The sequence below is a fragment of the Homo sapiens genome, chromosome 11, assembly GCF_000001405.40.
Source record: "Homo sapiens chromosome 11, GRCh38.p14 Primary Assembly".
Lineage (NCBI taxonomy): Eukaryota > Metazoa > Chordata > Mammalia > Primates > Hominidae > Homo > Homo sapiens.
In genome coordinates, this window is record NC_000011.10 from 15964471 (window position 1) to 15983897 (window position 19427).

General features: G+C 39.3%; 1 protein-coding gene and 1 non-coding gene across 7 annotated transcripts in view, besides 2 other annotated features; both read right to left on the reverse strand.

Annotated features, from left to right (window-relative positions):
* Window positions 1387-1536: an enhancer, noted in NCBI's record as "active region_4479". NCBI's record gives its function as "activates an Ori minimal core promoter by ATAC-STARR-seq in GM12878 lymphoblastoid cells {active_cell/tissue: GM12878}" and the evidence as "EXISTENCE:reporter gene assay evidence [ECO:0000049][PMID:35858748]".
* Window positions 1979-19427, reverse strand: part of SOX6 (SRY-box transcription factor 6) — a 772029-nt gene continuing 754580 nt past the window's right edge. For all 6 annotated transcript variants that reach the window (NM_001367872.1, NM_033326.3, NM_001145811.2 and 3 more), the window contains one exon: window positions 1979-8642. In NM_001367872.1, the coding sequence (NP_001354801.1) occupies window positions 8339-8642 (304 nt within the window). In that variant the 3' untranslated portion in view covers window positions 1979-8338. The remainder of the gene's footprint in view (window positions 8643-19427) is intronic.
* On the reverse strand, window positions 5063-5151 carry MIR6073 (microRNA 6073). The gene has a single exon (NR_106721.1). It is a non-coding gene; the product is annotated as a microRNA 6073 (primary transcript).
* Window positions 9599-9799: a silencer, noted in NCBI's record as "peak1212 fragment used in MPRA reporter construct". NCBI's record gives its function as "represses an SCP1 promoter by STARR-seq MPRAs in K562 erythroleukemia cells {active_cell/tissue: K562}" and the evidence as "EXISTENCE:reporter gene assay evidence [ECO:0000049][PMID:32103011]".

Here is a 19427-nt window from a genome sequence, read left to right on the forward strand (position 1 = left end):
AGTAAGTAATACCAAGGTACACCTACAAGATCCCTCAGCCTCACCACCTGAGACCCCGATATTCACAGGCATCTAAAACACACAGGGAGACCAAGTTGCAATCCCTCATACATTCCTTCCACAAACAAGTGTAGAGCACTTACTATGTGCCAAGCACTGTGTTGGGGGCAGGGCAGGCCAAGGTACAGTTTTTGGTTTCAGCAGTTTGTCGTCTAGCAGGGAAGACAGACACAGAGACAAATCATTACAATGTGCTCATCGTGAGATTCTTTCAAAGAGCTCTTTGCTTTCTCCGTAGGGAGAGCTTGAAACCAGGGGGCCAAGAAGGTCTCAGGAAGTGGTGATATTGGGTGGCTTCTGAAAGATAACTGCGAATTTCCCAAACAGAGAAGGGGACAGATTCCTTCCAGGCTAAAGGAGAAGTAAAAGCCCCAGAGTGGTGGACAGGCTGGGGGTGTGAGAGCAGCAGAGAGCATGGAAGGTGTGTGGGGTCACGGTGGAACATGGGGCTGGCAGGTCTGTGGAGGCTTGGCTGACAGGGCAGGAAGTTGGGACTTTATCTAGTCAGCAGCAGAAAGCCAGAAGGTTTTAGAGAAGGATGAGAGGGGACAGGCTTAGAAAGAAGACCTGCAGCAATGGCAAGGATGAGCTGGGAGTGAGAAAACCTGTGGCTTGGAGACTAGCTTAGAGGGAGGGCCCTGAGGTATGTATGCGACCAGGCTCTGAGAGAAGGCCTCAGGCACCTCCTTCACTTTACTCAGTGGTAACACCAGCCAACCTCCCTAGCTTAGGCATTTTCTGGTCAGAGGAGGCAGTGGGCATTCATGCCCTCTGTGTGCCATCCACTCCTGGATGTCTTACCCCTGCTGTTTCTTTTCATTCTCCCAGCACCCTGACAGGTAAGAATTGTTACCCCATTTTATAGAGAGGATTGTGGCTCAGAGGTGTTATTCAGGGAAGGTCACGCAGCTGGCAGGTGGCAGAGCCAGGCTGGTGTGACTCCAAAGTCCCTGTTCTTTCCAATGTCCTGTACTTACCTGGGCTTTTAAAAAGCCATGGGGCAAGAGGGAGGTCCCGGAATGCTAGATTTTCAGAACTTACAGGAGCCTGCGTCTAACTTGCAATGTGACTGGAATAAAGTCAGTCCCACATATTCTTGGATTTATTTTTCCTGAGGCATTTTTTAATAGGAAATATCAAAAGGAGTGGCTGGGCCTCTCCTCTCTCTTGAACACTTTTGTTTCACTCTCTAGGTGTTGGTTACTCATCTCTAGACTCACAGGACTGGCTTGGCTGGTGTGGCAAGTCTCCCTTAAGGGCCCTGCTCACTTCACCCCACTACCCACCTTCCGTCCCCACTCAGACTCAGCACAATGAAATAGCTTTGGCAACATTTTAGAAGCTGATATCACTGGGAACCGAGTTTCACTCTGGATGCAACTCATTGCTGGACAAAAAGATGGGCTCTTTCTTCTCTGAGGCAGAAGGTACTGAGTAATCAGCCAACTACTGCCAACCACAGTGGAGGGAAAGGTTCCATAAGTGCAGCATTTTCCACTCTTGGCTGCTAGGCTCGTAGAAGGTGGCGTCAGATGAGAGGCTGGCCCTTGAGAGTTGTTCATACTCCAAAAGGCTCTAAGCTGTTTCACTGACACGAAGAAGTCAGGTAAAGAGGCAATGCCATGCTCTCTTATCTTCTCTTGACAAAAATCCACCTTGTATCCCGTTCCTCCCTTCTAAATCCACAAGTATTTCCTGCTGCAGCCAGGTGTGCTCCACAACGAAAAGAGCAGGCAAGTCTTTCCAGGCTAAGGGGTTCCATGTCTTTCAGAGACCTACCCTTGGGCCAGGCAGAAGCAATGGCAGAGGGCAGGAGAGCTCTGCAGGCTCCAGCAGCAAGAGGGTGGCACATTCAGGGCTGGCTGGGGCCCCATGGTGGGGACAGTTTGCAGGGCACAGACAAGGCCATACACAGAGGTCATAAAACAAAATTTATCTTTAATTTGTAAGTGTCAACAGCAGTACAAAAGATGGAGTGATGACAACTAGATTAGGGTAGAGAGGACAGTCTTGAGGTAAATGAGCATAAATAGGCAGTTCTTATAGACACTCCCCTAAGGGGCCTGAGCCCCATCACGGCATATACATTATCACCCAAAGATGGCATGTTGAACATATCAGGAAAGCACCTTGTGCAAAAAGGAAAAAAAAAAAGTAGCTAAGGTGCCAACATACACCAGGATAGATAAAGACAGTGTGTCTTTCAATTTTGTCTTTTCCCTTAATTATGAGGCAGAGGAGGGGAAGACTTTGAAAAGTACCACTGAAAGATTATTCAATGTTGAGCTTTATCTCACGTCAATACTGCACAACAAAATCCAAGAAGTTTGTGTATGCAACAAAGCTAAGAACAATGATTCATTCCTGTAAATTTGAAGAGATTTTTTTTATTTTTCCCATTTCTTTAATCCTTAGCAAACTTTTTATTATTATTATTATCAAGAGGAGAGTGTGAGAAAGATGTGATGGCAACCCTTAAGGTCATTTAAAAACTTTACACTGGACTGTACAAGATTTTTTTTTGATAAACTATTTACATTTTCAGACTTTCAAACATATTCAAAGCAGCAATAGACACTAGTTTTTATGTTTTTTTCTTTTTTTCTAATTGCCCAAATAGTTACCAGCCATGGGCCAAGTAGGTACCTGCATTATACATAGAATTTCTACAAAGAAAATCTGCAGTTAAAATTTGCTCCAGGATGTATTAAATGCCCTTAGCAATTCAAGGGCCACACCCAGTGTTGCTATAGGAACCAAAGCACAGTACCTTGACAACAGAGTTGCAGTTGTCCCAACAGCCCTACACAAACTTTACACTTTGAAACAGCAGCCAGCATGTCAGTCCAGCATGTCAGTGAATTGTGCTGATTAAATTAACATAGAATACAATTTCACAATATACATCACAAACAAATTACAACGTCGGGGGAAATAAAAGAGTTACAGTAAGATAAGTTATGTAGTAACAGCTTATAAGCTTGTCTAAGGTAATAAAAATTTTACATGGCAAATACAATAATGAATGAACATAAATGCTAAGCATTCTAATTTGCTACAAGCTGGAGGAGGGTACAATAAAGACTGCACTTTCAAAAAAGCAAAAACACATATGACAAAGGAAGACAAAGGGAGAATGCACATGAGCAGACCTGCAATGTGCAGCATACAAAACAGTTAAATATTTGCACATTCCCCATACTCCAAGAGCACCAGCACTGAGGCCTCACTTTATGCTTGTGGTTCTTCAGGAATAAGAAACTACTGAGCAAGATATGTCACTGAGTTTTCTTCAAGCGTTCATATTGCCATGGACACTGATTAGAAGAGTTATCTGCATTAAGCATTACCTTTCTGCCCCCACCCCGCCCACCCTTACCTCTGCCCCAAAGGTACCAGCATTCCAAATATTTGTTCATGAGCTTTTGGAAAGCAATCTGTCCCCAAAGGGAAAGATAGAATGGGGATGAAAAGGAAATGTGTTTGCATATCAATATTTTCAATGATATTAGTACAGGGGCACGCTCAATAGGATATGGCATCAGAAACAGAACATCATTGGCAGGAATAACAGACAGAAGTTGTTTATTAGGGAAGAAAACATGTCAGGGAGCAGATGACTTAAGGAAATGATGCAAGTGCTTTTGTGAAAGGACAAATGAGGTCATACAATATTATTATACTTTGAGAAGTGAGCTTAAGTGCCAACTCAATTCTTAGACAAACGTGTACAAAATCAGGCAGGGCTACAGCAACCATTTTTGTCATTTTCTCATTAAAAAGGAAGACCCAGTAGTAATTTCAATACATTCCTCTAGCTGCATTTCTTTGCAGTTGTTGGCACTTGGTACAGGACTTCTCATATGATTTAAAATTACTAAGTGATTCTTTTTCCTCTCCCTAATGAGTTGGTAGAGGTCAATTCTTTGCAAAATGAGTAAATTGAGAGAAGCAGCCTCAGCTGTGCTGTTCAAGTGACCAGGCTGCCTTCCTACTGAGGGTAAATGGGCTTTCCTGAAACAATCCCTGCTTTCTGCTAGTGCTTGTGCTCCTGGCTCAGGAGGGTGTACTCCGAAGAAGCAGCCTGGCTTCAGAAGGAAAAGAAAGCAGCCTTTAATTTCAGCCCTAGAGTGATCACGCCCTTTTCAAACACCCTCAGGCTCCCGTGGGGCTAATGTTCAGGGGAGGCCAGAATTCGACAAGCTCAATAGCACTGTGAGCCCACACCTGAATTTAGAACTTGGCCTGGGCTTTGGTGTCAGGACCCTGGCAAATCAAATCAGGCCTGAGGACAAGGCTGGAGAGTATCAAATACCTAATGAAGCAAACCGAGGTGCTTCTAAAAGGCTGAGCTGGGTACACATGAAAACAACAAAGCTTCCGTACCTTACTGGAAAAGACACTGCTTCATATCTGCCAATGAAATAGAAAAGTTGTCAGCCTAGCGGCTCGTATCCGCAAAGCGACCTTTTTTTTCTCTCTCCCTTCCTACTTTTTTCCTTTCTTCCTTCTTTTCTCCTTTTCCTTCCATTCCATATGGCTATTTTTTTTTTTTTTTTTTTTTGGGAGAGGATTGCCTGGCAGTGTCCCAATTCTAAGTGACAAGGAGAACCCTGACCCTGTAAGTTCTTTAACAAAATGGAGATAATTTTTATTTTTGATTTGAAGATACTATGAAATAGGGAGCACCGCAAAAACAAAGTTGCTTAACATTCTTGAATCTAAACTGACATGACGGGACGTTTATTAACGGCCGATCTCAGAGGTGGATTTTTGCCTTTGTAGTGGCATTCATGCTTCTTGCTATTAAATGGTCACAGAACTATCTTAGAAGATTTATGTAGACTCCCAAAGCAAACTGACTGTCTCCTAACTGTAGTGGAAATTTAGTATGTCCAATCATCAACTTTCTGTAAGAAAAAAGGGAAATGTCTGGATCTGTGGACAGTGGGTTCTGAACTGCATGAGAACCCTGGTGAAACGTTTTGCTGTCCCAGCTGCAGGCCAAACACTGCTCTCTCACTGTAGCTGATAACTCACTACCCCGAGAGGCACAGTGACTCATCAACTTTCAGTTTGGACCAACATCTATGGATAGAGAACAAAAAGGAAATACATAACTTATATCTCACTAAGTATTCATGAACCAAAAATAAATTCTATTTCTATGTTATATTTACACAATTAGAAAAATCTAAAATGAGATGGTAAAGTCATATAAACTTTGTTTAAGCCCCACTGAAAATAAAATGAATTGATCCCTATGATTGTCATTCTTAATTTCCATGGATATTTAGAGCCAAACTTGGCTAATAAATAAACTGCTTATACACAAAATTTAGATTCAAATACAGCATTACTGTTTGATCCAATGAAAAAGACGTTTACAATCAGATCATTCCTGAATAGCCTTTCATTTTTAAGAACATGGCTAAAAGTAAATGAACCCCAGTACTGAGGCAGAGCTGGAGCTAAAACAAAGTGTTCATACACACATGTATTTTGCATAAATAAATGAAATAACAAGACATAAAAATGACTCAAATCCGGCAACTGTGAGGCAAGCCCACACGAGTCGAAACAGATGACTTTTGTTCATGTAGTTTTCGTACAACAGTTTCACATTAGTCAGAAGTGATAAAAAATACCATTTATATCCAGTGCTTATAACACTTACGAAACAACATCTGTGAGTGTGTGTGTTTTTTGTTTTTTTTTACTTACTATGAGCAAAATCAAGTTTCAGTCCTAAAGAACAGTCCTTTGTTCTCCACCAGCCCAGAATATTATTTTGGCATGGTCATAAAAACAAACAAAATTAACCTACTATGCTAAATGTTTGCTTTTGTGCAAAATTAATTACATACAATACAATGCTAGCCATACAACACTCTACCAATGCAACAAAATAAGAAAGAAGTGAGAGAGAGCAAAAGCAAAAGCCAAAGAGAAAGAAAAAAAACAAGAGTGAACTGAGGAGGAGAGGTATATAATCAAAGAAATCAGTAAGACAATAATAAATACTCATTTTTTGAGAGAAAAAATGACCTCCTCCTCATTTGAAATAAATGTACAAAAACAAATTTCTAATCCCCAACCAACATGAATAACAAAGAGTTCCTATCAGTACCTTAATCAGCTTATAGAGAGCACTCCCAGCTAACAGAATAGCTTGTAATTTCTTGGCTAGACCTGTTTATTGCTATTAGGCCTTGAGCACTCTTAAATAAATACAAAGGTACACTATTTTCTTCCAAGTGACAAAATGGCTCAAGAAATCTGATGGGGCCATTCCTATGTCCTGGTGATCAGATTCTGGGTTGTCCCATGAGGTGAACTATCCCATTCACTGACATTCTCCCACTAAACCTCTCTGGGGGAAGCCCCCCGATAGACAACCTGTCCTAGTTTCAGGAAGGCCAAAATGACATGGCAGAGCTCCCTGTAGTTAGGAGATGGGGAATAAAACCTCACTGCTTCCCACCCCAGTAGCATGTCTTCAAAGAAATCCTTGTGTGATAAGTGCAGTTCATTTTGTTCACACGTAGGCAGGTCCCCATGTGGCTACAGATAGAGTCAGCCAGAGGAACTCATCTGCTGCCCCCGGAGCTATCTGTTCCCCAGAGTTAACAGTAGGAACATCCCATATAGGGAATGTATTCCCCTCCTTCTCCTCCCTTACAGTTTTCTTTCATTCTCTAGATGTATCATGACTATTTGCCACCATCTTTGCTCTGAGGCTGTCATGTGGCTTTTTGCATCCTGGGGATTTTGCAATGAACTCCCTAGATGTGCCAGCTGGGACAAGGCAACTCAGTGTAAAGGTGCCAGCCCATGACAGCTTCACTGAGATTCCTGCATGGCCCACGAGCCTTGGGCTTCAGGTTTGGCCGCAGGACTCTCCTGCCTGGCAGTCACCACTGTTGAACCTTGCTGCTGAATGGAATTCAGGGGGAAATGCCACTGATGCAGACCCTACCACTTGTGAACTGAATTAGGGGAAAATTCTGGCAAAAGACTTGAGGTCACAGTGAACCTCAGGGGCATACCTGTTTAAGTGTAAGACTATATACCTATATCCCAATACACAGCCCTGCAGCCAGATACATACTCATGATTAAAAACAATAATAGGTTTTTAATAATATCTTGGTTTCAGAAATGCTTCCAGGCGTTCTGGGGACATAAAATCACTATGTACACAGGAGAAGGAGGTGAAAAGGACGGAAAAGTTCTTCGGGGAAGGAAGGTGAAAAACAAGAATTATTAAATTAATGCCACCAACAATTGAAAAAAAATAAATAGCAAGTGGACCCTTGACATTCTGGAATGAATAAATTATTTAAGATAAAATGTGTTAAGACTGAATGTCAGGGTTAAAGGCAAAGGGATAATGGATGTAGTGAGAGGTGGTCTCAGGCAGAGAAGACCACTCTGTCGATATCTGGTGTGGCGGTTGCTCTGGTGTGTGTATGTCATACCACATCACGCACTGATGGCACGTCAACAGGCAAACACAATTGGGTCCATGCACTGTGGCAACCTTGTTCATTCCTTACAATATCTTGTCTCCAGATTCCTGAGTACCTTACCATTTTCTGGAAAAAAAAATGTTGGTTTGCTATTTTATTTTAAGATGCCAAAGATTGTCTAAGACTTTGCAGTGTCTCCTTTAAGACTTTCAAAATATTAAGATTCAAAAGTTACGAAAAAGTTTGGCACATTCAAAGTTTAACTCTACAAATGGAAAATTGGAATTCCGAGGCCTTTTGAATATGCTCTACATGCAGCTGCACACGCCGTGGACTTGTTCTGTTTCACAATATGAAATCCTCAGTTGTTTTCTAAAATAATTCAGAATAAAAACACATTCACAACCTGTAGGCCGGCACAGCATACCTGAGTGAGAATGTTTAACCCCATCTAAAACAGTAACTTAAACCTTTATCAACATCCAAAAGAAAAAAAAAGTAAGACAAAAATATAAGACTTGTAAGACATCTACGGGTTGAGATAAGTTTCAAGTCCTGGTGTCTCATATTTAATATGTCTTCACCTAAATTAAAAAAACAACAACAACAACAATAACAATAACAACAAAAAACTCAAGTTCATGAAAAATCAGGGAAAACTTAATCTGTCTCACACTTTACGAAACAATTAAGACCATTCTGCTGATGTAATTGTGGAGCCACAAATGCATGCGGGCTCTTTAATAACTCTTTGTTGGGGAGGGGGGTGAAATGTCAGAGTACTTTAATTCAGCAAACAAAAACTCCTCAGTTGGCACTGACAGCCTCCGGGGCTTCATTTTCACTGCTATAGTCTGATTTGGGGTCATCTTCATAGTCATCATACATTTCCATTTCATCCTCTCCATTGATCATTTCATTTCCAGCTAGGCTTCCGCCATCTGTCTTCATACCATAAGTGCTCTGGATGACCGGGAGGCTGGGCTCCGGGCTGGCCGAGGTGCTAGAGCAGTCAGATGTCATCTGAGGCGATGGTGTGGTAGTTGCCATAGTGATAGCACCAGGATACACAACACCTGTTCCTGTGGTGATTGGAATCTGAGGCTGTTGCCTATATAGATTCAAGAAACAAAATCAGACAAGGGAGAAATATCTATATATGTGCTATGTACAGCATTGGAATTCACACCCTACACTTTCAAAAGGGAGCCCTAAATAAATGTTAAATAACATTCTAAGCAAATAAAATGTGACAAAGGTGTTCCCTGGAGGAGTACTGCAAATCTCCTTGATGCTATGTTAGGGGTTAAACAATATGATGGAGCAATTTACTGATGACTTTGCAACATAAAGGCAGGGTTCTTTTAACTTGGTAAATATGGCAAAGTTTGGATAACACCTGGCATTAGGAACAAATGATGTAGTGAATTCCACAATGTTACATGTGAAATAATTTTTGAAGATCTCCCAGCACATTTTGAAAATTAGACTAGTGGCATGAAACATATTATAATGACACTATTAAGCAGGTTTGTGTCTTCACCTTGGTTTGAGAAATGTATAAATCAAGATGAGAAGGGACCTAGCATGTCCCAAAGAGTGAGATTCAGCAAAGCATTTATTTGTTATTCATGTAAATGTCTACATATTTCCATGGCTGAACTTGTTAGGAATAATCCCTGTGGAAGGATCATCTTGGATGTCATTACTGCTGAGACCCTGGGCTGGAACTGGGGTTGGGATTAAGAGAGTTGGGAGTAAAGAGCAGTGAGACCTCTGCAACTCAACAGAGTAGAGTTGCAGAGTAGACACCAGATACGCTGCCTCACCCTAGATCCCAGAGGGTGGCAAGGCCTGGACACCAGTTCATTCCTCCATAATGTTACCCTAGTTTAAACAAACTTAACAGATCCTTTGTGGAGGTCAATCTCTTCCTCTGCAGGGAGACATGATTACTGTCTCTTAACTTCACTTAAGGCATTATAACTGGTACACAGGAATGAAACATCTACCTAACTCAGAGACTATGGCGAAAATATTATTTTCATATATGCAATATTCACCAAGAGTTTCTCAATCTTTAATGGATAGTAAATTATAGTTGAATTTGTTTCAAGTTGTCATTGTAACTATCCTTTTGGAGCCTTTGTTTCTACATATTTATACAAGCCGGGGTCAGGGAAGTTCTGGAAGGTCCTTCCACTTTTTGTACTCATGACTTCAGGTCAATTATCACTTGGACAATTCTTACTCACCCTACACATTATCACTGAAACTTTCTATCCATCTCACTCAAACAGGAAAATACTCTGAATCTATGAAGAAGTAGCTTAGCTACCTGCCATTCTTTTTTTTGTTTTTTTCTGTTAGCTCTCTCTTTTTTTTTTTTTTTTTTTTTTTTATTATACTCTAAGTTTTAGGGTACATGTGCACATTGTGCAGGTTAGTTACATATGTATACATGTGCCATGCTGGTGCGCTGCACCCACTAATGTGTCATCTAGCATTAGGTATATCTCCCAATGCTATCCCTCCCCCCTCCCCCGACCCGACCACAGTCCCCAGAGTGTGATATTCCCCTTCCTGTGTCCATGTGATCTCATTGTTCAATTCCCACCTATGAGTGAGAATATGCGGTGTTTGGTTTATTCTTTGACATGTCCAGAGGAACATAATTTTCTCACAAAGACCTCCATGCCCTCCAGCCTGGCAGAGGGAGAAGGGATGCAGATGGTTTAGAAACACTCTGTGAGATATTGGTTCACGCTGAATTTAGCAATCTCTTTTAATCACCACAAGGCACATCATATCCCTAACATAACATATAAAATATTTTCAGGTATACCAACTCACCCAATTAACATCATGGCCCCATAAGTTATTATTTTTTCCATTTCCAGATGAAGAAAATCAGACCTTGCTTCAAGCCCTGCATTCAATAACCAGCAGAGCCAGAATGTGAATCTAAGCCATTGGCTGACTTGAATCCCATCACTCTTTCCTTTATAGATATTCAATCTACAGATACACTAAGCTCACTGTATATCATAAAAATGCCTGACTTCTATAGAACCTGTCAGCACCTAGTTGACACTAAGCACTTGACATTGACCCAGTTTTTATGATTCTCATGGTGAGTTTTTTGGTTGCCTGAAGGAAGCAGATAATAGAGGAATCTAAATCTATGTATAGAAACATCATATAAAATATTAGTTCCCTCTTATTGAATCAAATTTTAAAACAGTATACTTCTGGCTTCCTAAGTTTTGGGCAAATTAACACAAATTAAATTTTATGCTAACCTTATAATGCCTCATTGGTTTTTTTACTGAATTTGGATAACTGCAATAAAATGTTTTTGCCTTAATCACATTATGAGTGTAGAGGGAAAGCTTTTACTGCAATGTTAACCCATTTTACAGATTTCCCAATTTGGCAAGCTGATCTGTAATACAAACTCTGCATAAAAACACACTATCAAATGATACGTTTCCTTTTCACAAAGAATAGATGGTCACTTTTTGCAGTATTTTTACCAGAATATCTATATCAATAGGTCTACTGAATAAATTTAAATTGAGCTCGTATTATGTGCTGGGAACTATATTTAGGTGTTTTTACATTATCTTCTTGAATCCTCATAATAAGCCTGAGAGGTAGGTATCATTTTCCCTCTTTTACACATGAAGTGACCAATTAAGTTTCAGAAAATTCAAGCTGTTTGTTCAAGGCCACGCAAGTACCATAATCAGGAGTTGAACCTTCCCCGTGTCACAAATTCCCTAGCACATATCAAGATCAGGGTGAGAAAGGCAAGCTCACACTATCAGAAAAAACTTAGCAATTTAAATCGGAATCAAAATCTTCTACACTGGGCTCCACATAGTTCAGAGTATTTGGACTTTAAGCTGGTAATGGAATGCTAAAAATAAATAAACAAGCAAATAAAACATCTGTACAATTTACTTTCTAGAGTGAGAGTGAGATGCATGATATTCAAAAGCCTAGTCCTGGGAGTGGAGAGATATATATGGCTGTTTTAAGCCCCCAGACAGTGCTAAAAGCCAGTGAGGGTAAAAACCCAGGGGTTACTCCCCACCTTGAGGAAATGAAGGGAGTCCAGCTCTGGTAAGGTTCTCACATTCACATACAACTGTTCGAGGTTGTACATAAATGCTAGAGTGAGAACTTATCCCTGTGAGAGATGATTTTTGCCTCTCCAAGCCTTCTGGGAAGAAGGTTATGTGGTATGGTGAGCTCAGGTTTTGGAGTCAGAATGGCTTGGGTTTAAATCCCAGCTGCACCAGTTACTGGCTGTGTGATCCTGGGCAGGCTAATTATTATCACTGACATTGCCTCTCCTCGTCTATAAATTAGAACATTCACATTTGACAGGACTGTGAAGATTAAGTAAGAACATATATGCAAAGCATTACATTATAGAGTAGACGAAAATGTTAATTCCCTTTCCTTTCCTCCTTTGGGAAGCTGGTGTAAACCTCACAGAGAGCAAGCATGTTCTAAGTCTGGGGGAGCACCAAGGAAATGACAAGGTAATGCTTTGGACTCTCCGTGAGTGCCAGCCCACAGAAGCCATTTGGAATTGGCGGTTAATTGTAAAACAATACTCTGGTTCACAAGCCTGGCCAGGAGAGGACTTCCTCTTTACCGCAGAACTGTAGAGAAGGGCATCTGAGAAGGGAAAATGTTGACATCTTCTAAGAAATGTTTAAAAAGAAAAAAGTCCCCAAAGAATAACATTTGGTTCTGTATAACCCTTTTTCTAACCCTAACTCCCTCCTTTCTCTAATTCCTGAAATATTTCCATTATACCCTCTGGAACTCAACTGTCAGTCCTTACTGACTCACCTTCTTACTCTAACTGAAACTTGGCTCTCTCTCTAGGCCACGAGTCTCCCTAAGGCCCTCGGAAGAGTTGGTTATTTGCTTTCCATCCCCCTCACATGAATGGGCCTGGAGGTGGGGTAGTTCCCTTCTTAGCTCCTCATTGCCTCGTCCAACCTACTTTTTAATCCCTCCATCCTAAAAATCTCATCTTTGAATCTCATGTCACCAGACTATGTCACCCACTCATACCTTTATCTACCCCCTGCCTGATCAATCCCCCTCATTCCTTAAAGATGTTAGCTCCTGGCTCACTGTTGCTGTTTCTTCAACATAACCTCTGCCATGATCCTTGATGTCTTTGCTATCTCTGTAGATGTTCATTCCAACACCCGACTATCTCAGTGTGACCTCCCCGCCACTGTGATAATCTGGGCCCCTCCCTATCTTAGTTGCTCGCTCTCTTGTCATACAGTGGACCTTGTCATTTTCATCTGTCACTCCTCCCTAATCTCAGTTTTAAATATCCCACTCTCTAACCACCACATCTTATTGTTCTAGTTTTCTCCCTTTAGTACCCAGTTTATGATTTCACTCCCCACCCCATCTGAGGAGCTACGGTTTCCTGATCCTTCAACCCACCTTCACTGCCCTCAGTTACTTGAGCCTCTCCCTGCTTGTGCCCCCACTTACCTCTTTACCCAGTTCCAATTCCATGGTTACTCACTCCCTTGCAGACACTCTCCATTCTCTTACATAGCAAAACTTCAACTTTAGTTCAATTTAACTCTCTGCCTACTCTGTTTAGCCACACAGCTGAACTTGGCTGGAGAAAATACACTGCCATACTTACTAGTCTCTAAATTTACAATGCTGTACTTCAAATAGGCCTCTGGTGCTGTTCAGCCATCATATTGCACATTGTTCTAGCCTACTCCTTCTCTTAGCCTCCTAGACAATTACTTCCTACCTTCTTAACTTTCCTCAAATATCCAACTTCTCCCCCTTTCTCACTCCAAGCTAATGGCCTGGCTTTCTATTTCATGGAGAAATTAGAAGCAATCAGAAGAAACTTTTCACAAACTCCCACTGTCACGTTGACTGGCCTCCCTGTATCTGTGCCCCATTCTCTGCCTGCCTTTCCATATTTTGAATCAGTTCATAATCCAATATAAGGCTAACCCCTCTGCTTGTGCACTGAAACTATCTGTTTTTGTTTACTAAAGATATCTCTCCAGCAATTGTCTCTCCTATCTGAATCATTAATTTTTTATAGAATTCCCACCAAACATGCTATAATCACTCATACCATAAAAAACAACCAAAAACCTCTCTCGGCACATCTCCCCCTCCAGCTCTTGCTTCATTTCTTTGATATCCTTTAAAGCAAAACTCTTTAAAAAGTTGTCTTTCTTCATTTCTTCTACTCAATTCTTTCTTAAACCCACTTCAATCACTCCCAATACACCACTGAAACAGAGCTTATGAAGGTCACACCATCAATAATCTTCATATTGTTAAATCCAAAAGTCAGTTCTTGGTCCTCATGTTACCCAGATCTATAACACGGGCAGCATTTGATATAGCTGATCATTTTCTCCTTGCTGAAACATTTTATTCACTTGTTTTCTCAGATGCCACACCCTCCTGGTCTTCTTCCTAATTGGCTGCTCCTTCTAAGTTCCCATGCTGCTTCCTTCCCATCTCCCTGCCATCTAAGCACCGAAGTCCCCATGGATTGAGTCCTTGCTTCTTCTCTTCTCTATCTAAATTGATTCCCTTGGTGATTTCATCTAATTCCATGGCTTTAAATATTATCTATATGCTGACAACGTCCCAATTTATATCTCCAGTAAGCCCTTCGCTCCTAAATTCTAGACTCATTATAATGCTTATTATATATATATATGAGTCTAGAATTTAGGAGCAAAGGGCTCACTGGAGATATAAATATATATCTATATATAATATAGATATTATATATAACATATCAGCATTATATATAATATATATTATATATAACATATAAGCATTATATATAATATATATTATATATAATATATATAAGCATTATATATTATATATTATATATAAAATAAGCATATATAATGCTTATTTTATATATATGAGCATATATATAAGCATATATACATGCTTATTTTATATATATAACTGCTTATTTTATATATATTTTACATATATATATATATATATATATAAAACTGCTTATTTGATTTGGATTTCTAAATGCTGTCTCAACCTCATAGGTGCAGAACTTAAAGTCCTGATCATTCTCCCACATACCTGCCCCTCTCATGGCCATCCTGTTCTTGGTTAATGATTACTTCATCCTTCCAGTTGAATAGGCCAATCTATGGTAACTGTATTTCTTTCAAACTCTGTATCCAATTGATCAGCAAATCCTATTGGTTCTTCTTCAGGAATACATCTAGAACCCATCTACTTCTTACCACCTCCACCCCTACAAACCTGGAACAAACCACCATCAACTCCAATCTGGTTTATTGTAAGAGGCTAGCTTCCTTGCTACAGGCCATTCTCCCTTCAGAAAATTCTCAACATAGCATATAGAGTGATCCTTTCAAAACCTAAGTCATATGAAAGCATTCCTCTGCTTAAAACTCATCAATGCCTTTCCATCTCACTCAGGGTCAAATACAAAGTCTTCACAATGTCTTACAAGTCTTTTCATAACTTGGTTCCTTATTATGAAGACTATGGCTTAAAAGTCTTTTCTACTATTCTTCCTACCTACTCACTTTGCTCCTGTCATTCTGGCCTATTTATTTCTTCTTGGAACAAGCTAGGCACAATCTCGCCTCAAAACCTTTACAGTTGCTGTTCTCTCTGCCCACATTTCCCAGATATCTGCACAGCTTGCTCCCTTCCCTACTGAGGCCTTTGCTCAAATGTTGCTTTCTCAGTGAGGTTTTCCATGACTGCCCTATTTAAAATTGCACCCTATAAGCTGAAACTTCCTATCCCTTTCCCTACTTTACTTTGTTCTAAGGCACCTCTCACTATTATTTATTTGTTTGTTTGTTATTTGTTTGAATTCTATCACTAGAATATAAGCTTCATGAGACAAAAATTTTCACTGACATAGTTCCAGAACTCAGACTGCTTGTAACATAGGAGGCACTCAGTAAATATCTGTTAAATACATAGGATGAATGAATGAATGAGAAAAAACAAATGAAAATTCTAAGTAATCTATTTCAGGGAAGAAAAGATGTAATGAGACTAGCTGTATGAAAATAACCATCTTTAGACGCTTGAATGGTTATTCTCATAAATAAAGGGGAGATTTGTTCTAGGAGACACGAAAGAAGAAGATTAGAACCAATCTGCAAAGTAGGAGGAAGGAAGATTATGGCTTAGTTAACAGAAAAGAAAACTTTCTAGTATTAGGAAATGTTCCACAAAGGAACTAGCTCCCTTGGGAAGCAGTGAGCTCTCTACCCTTGGAAGAGTTCAAGAACTTAGGGAAGACTCCTCCAATGGCTTGAAGTATATAACATCTGAGGCCCCTTCTATGTTGCAACTAATTCTGTGGATGCAAAATCAGAAGCTAACCATCACGCTGATCTTGCTCTCTTTTATCATTATCAGCATAAAAAGAGACTAAAAAAACCACACTAACTGTGCATAGCTAATTACAGTTGAAGAAACCTGGCTTTCAATGGCTTCCAAAATCTTCCTCCACCCTACCCATCTTATGTTTTCTTTACTGCCAGGAAAAAGCCTTAGGCTGCTTCTTTTTTTTACTATTGAATATATCCACATTTTCCCCCAGGTGTTCATGCTCTCCTCTATGCTAAAGCAGGAATCTACTTCCCATAAGTCTGACCTACCCAAACTTCAAGTCCCTTCCTCAAGAATGTCCCATGCTTGGCCATAATGCATAATAATCTCTCTTCCTCTGAGCTTTATTTGCTCTTGTCTACAAAATGAAGATTAGTAGTTCATTAAATGTTATATGCAGTGCTGTGCCATGTCTTGTGTGTGTATGTGTGTGTATAAGACACTATTATATGCTAATCTATTCATGTATGTATCTGGCTTCTCCAACTATAGAATTCTCTGAAACTCATGTGTACAGAAATAATGCCTCATGTACCATATTAATTTAGTAAAGTGTTGGACACATAGCTGGTTTCAAATAGGCCCTTACCAATTAACTAACAAATCAATGAACAAAATAAGAAATCCAGCCAGCAGGTTCAAGCTTTGTCTATCAGAAATTGCTTTCCTAAAAAGCATTTTTTCCTTCCTTTATAGATCAATTTCAAAGTCAAAATTCAAACACTGCAGATTTCACAAACAGGAATAGCTGGCAGGTATTGGGCTTTACAAATAATGAATGTGCACATCAAAACAACATTTGTGGATGTTTGTAAAAGTATATACATGAGTTGATATGAACAGAGATATTTAAGAACCCTTCCTCCCAGTCTAAGTAAAGAGTAAAAGCTGGCCCTGATAGAGCCCACCATTGCTACATGACTTCCAAATTACAGGAATATTTCTGGAGTGTAATCTAGCTTTGCCAATTACAAAGTAACTACATATTTATGCTGGCAAAGCCCCATTGTTTGCTGACCCTTCAGACCCTTCAAAGTGTATAAATAAAGACAAGGAAGTTTGTTTCATTAGGAGATAAGCCTATACGTCACATATCTCTGTAGCTGATACTGCAGGAAGGAACAGAAATAATAATAATCTGTTCACTTTACCTATTGAATGTTCTAATCCAGGGTCTTTACAGGAGGACAATACTTAAAAAAGCATGGCTAATCTATGCTAATGTAATTGTATTTTATAGGTGTCTTAAATAGGATTGATTCGACCTCTTTAAAATTAAGATTAAAATGCAAATGTTCAAATCACTTATAGTACAAGGCACTAAAATAATTATTGTAATATAACATAGAATATATACTTGGCACACAGTATTATTTTTCTAGAATAATAATATTTACTTGAATTTAAAGCTTTTCATATGCCAGGCAATGTTCTAAGCACTTTACAAACAGTAAGTTACTCAGGCTTCAAGAAGAGTCCTGCATATGTCATTGGTATTGTCATTCTCATTCTACATATGAAGAAACTGGTTAGAGAGAGATTAAATGTTTCCCAAGGGCAAGGGGAGAGTTCAGAGGAATAAAGATTGCCATGTATTAGTTCCTACAGCCAAGAAGGTGCAGATCTAGTATTTGAGCCAGACTAGTCTGACTCCAGAATTGATGCTCTTAACCACAATGCTATACCGCCTCTGTGTGTGTAATGTCGTGTCCTTACCAATGTCCTTTGGTAAAAGGGACATATGTTTCACATTCACATAAGCCTGGTTTACATCTCAGCTCGGCCATTTACTAGCTGTGTGGCCCTACACAAATTATTTAACATCTCTGAATATTGCATTTTTCAATTTAATAGTGAGAATGATATTCCCTATCTTGTAAATTTGTTGTATTTGCAATAATCTGTATAATCCACTCAGCAGAGTACACAGCACACAGTAAGTATTCAATAATCTATCTTTATCATTGCTAAAAAAGTAGCCCCAAATTTAATATTTTATAGTAGTTTTACATCTGTATCATGGGGGATTGGTTCCAGGACCCCCACAGATAACAAAATCTGAGGATGCTCAAGTCCCTTTTATAAAGTGGTATAGTATTTGCATATAACCTACACACATCCCCTATATACTTTAAACAATCTCATTATTTATAATAGCTAATACAATATAAATGTTATGTAAACACTTGTTATGCTGAATTGTTTAGGAAATAAACGCAAGAAAAAAAAAGTCTGTAGATGTTCCATACAGATGCAACCACTGTAGACCTAACTACATAGTGTACTTTAGCAATAATGTAACATTTTCTCGAATTTTTTTAAAAAATATTTTTGATCCACAATTGGTTGAATCCACACAGATACAGAGGGCTGAATGTACCTGCATAATTCTCTATGAGTTCATAGGTAAATTACCAAATAAGTTTCAAATAAATGGAAGTATATTCGGTCACAGTTCTTTGGGAAGACGTCATTGTAGCTACATGTACCCTAATGAATATTCCCTCTACATTAATAGTAGAGGGAATATTCTGGACACCACACTCAGAATTGGTAAGGGCCTATTTGAAACCAGCTATGTGTCCAACACTTTATTAAATTAGTATAGTAAATGAGGCATTATTTCTGTACACATGAGTTTCAGAGAATTCTGTAGTTGGAGAAGCCAGATACATACAAACAAATATACAAAGCCAGATACATACATGAATAGATTAGCATATAATAGTGTGTTATACCCACACATACACACACACATTTATTATCTTGAATAATCCAGATAATAATCTTATCCAGATTATTACAACATTCTGATACTTACTCTGCGAACTGAAGAGGTTAAAACCAAGGCAAGGGCTAACATTGCTCCCTTCCATATTATTGATAAATTCATTTCATAATAGCTAAGTAATAAAAAAAACTAACTCATCAGCCACAGTTGTGTAGTCAGTAAAATGCATGAAAATGTTGAGCAGTATATGCACTTTTATTGGCTTGAAAGTTATGCATGTCTTTTCAAAATCAGCTATAAAAATTGATCTGAACCCATTCCATCAAAACGTCAATAGAAATATTTGAATTTTTGTTTGTTTTTTGCTCAACTCTTGTAATAACCTCATATGTAATAAAGATCAATTTCCAAAGAAAAACTTCAGGAAATTAATAATCTATCAACTACAACTACTTAAAAGAGAATACAAATCCTTAAGCAGAAATAACACCTGGCTCTACATAGCAAGTATTATCAAAGCTGGGCAGAGGAAAATGCTCAGCATTGAGATGAAAGAATAAGACATTCTGATCATTGCCTGCACTTCAGTAGCCCTATTCTGCAGTCTAAAATGATCCTTCCATAAAGGACTGTTCTACACTATTGAGAACAGGATACTTAGTCTCTAAATTTCAAAGTTCTTTTTATGTACCATATACCACAAGCAGAGACTTC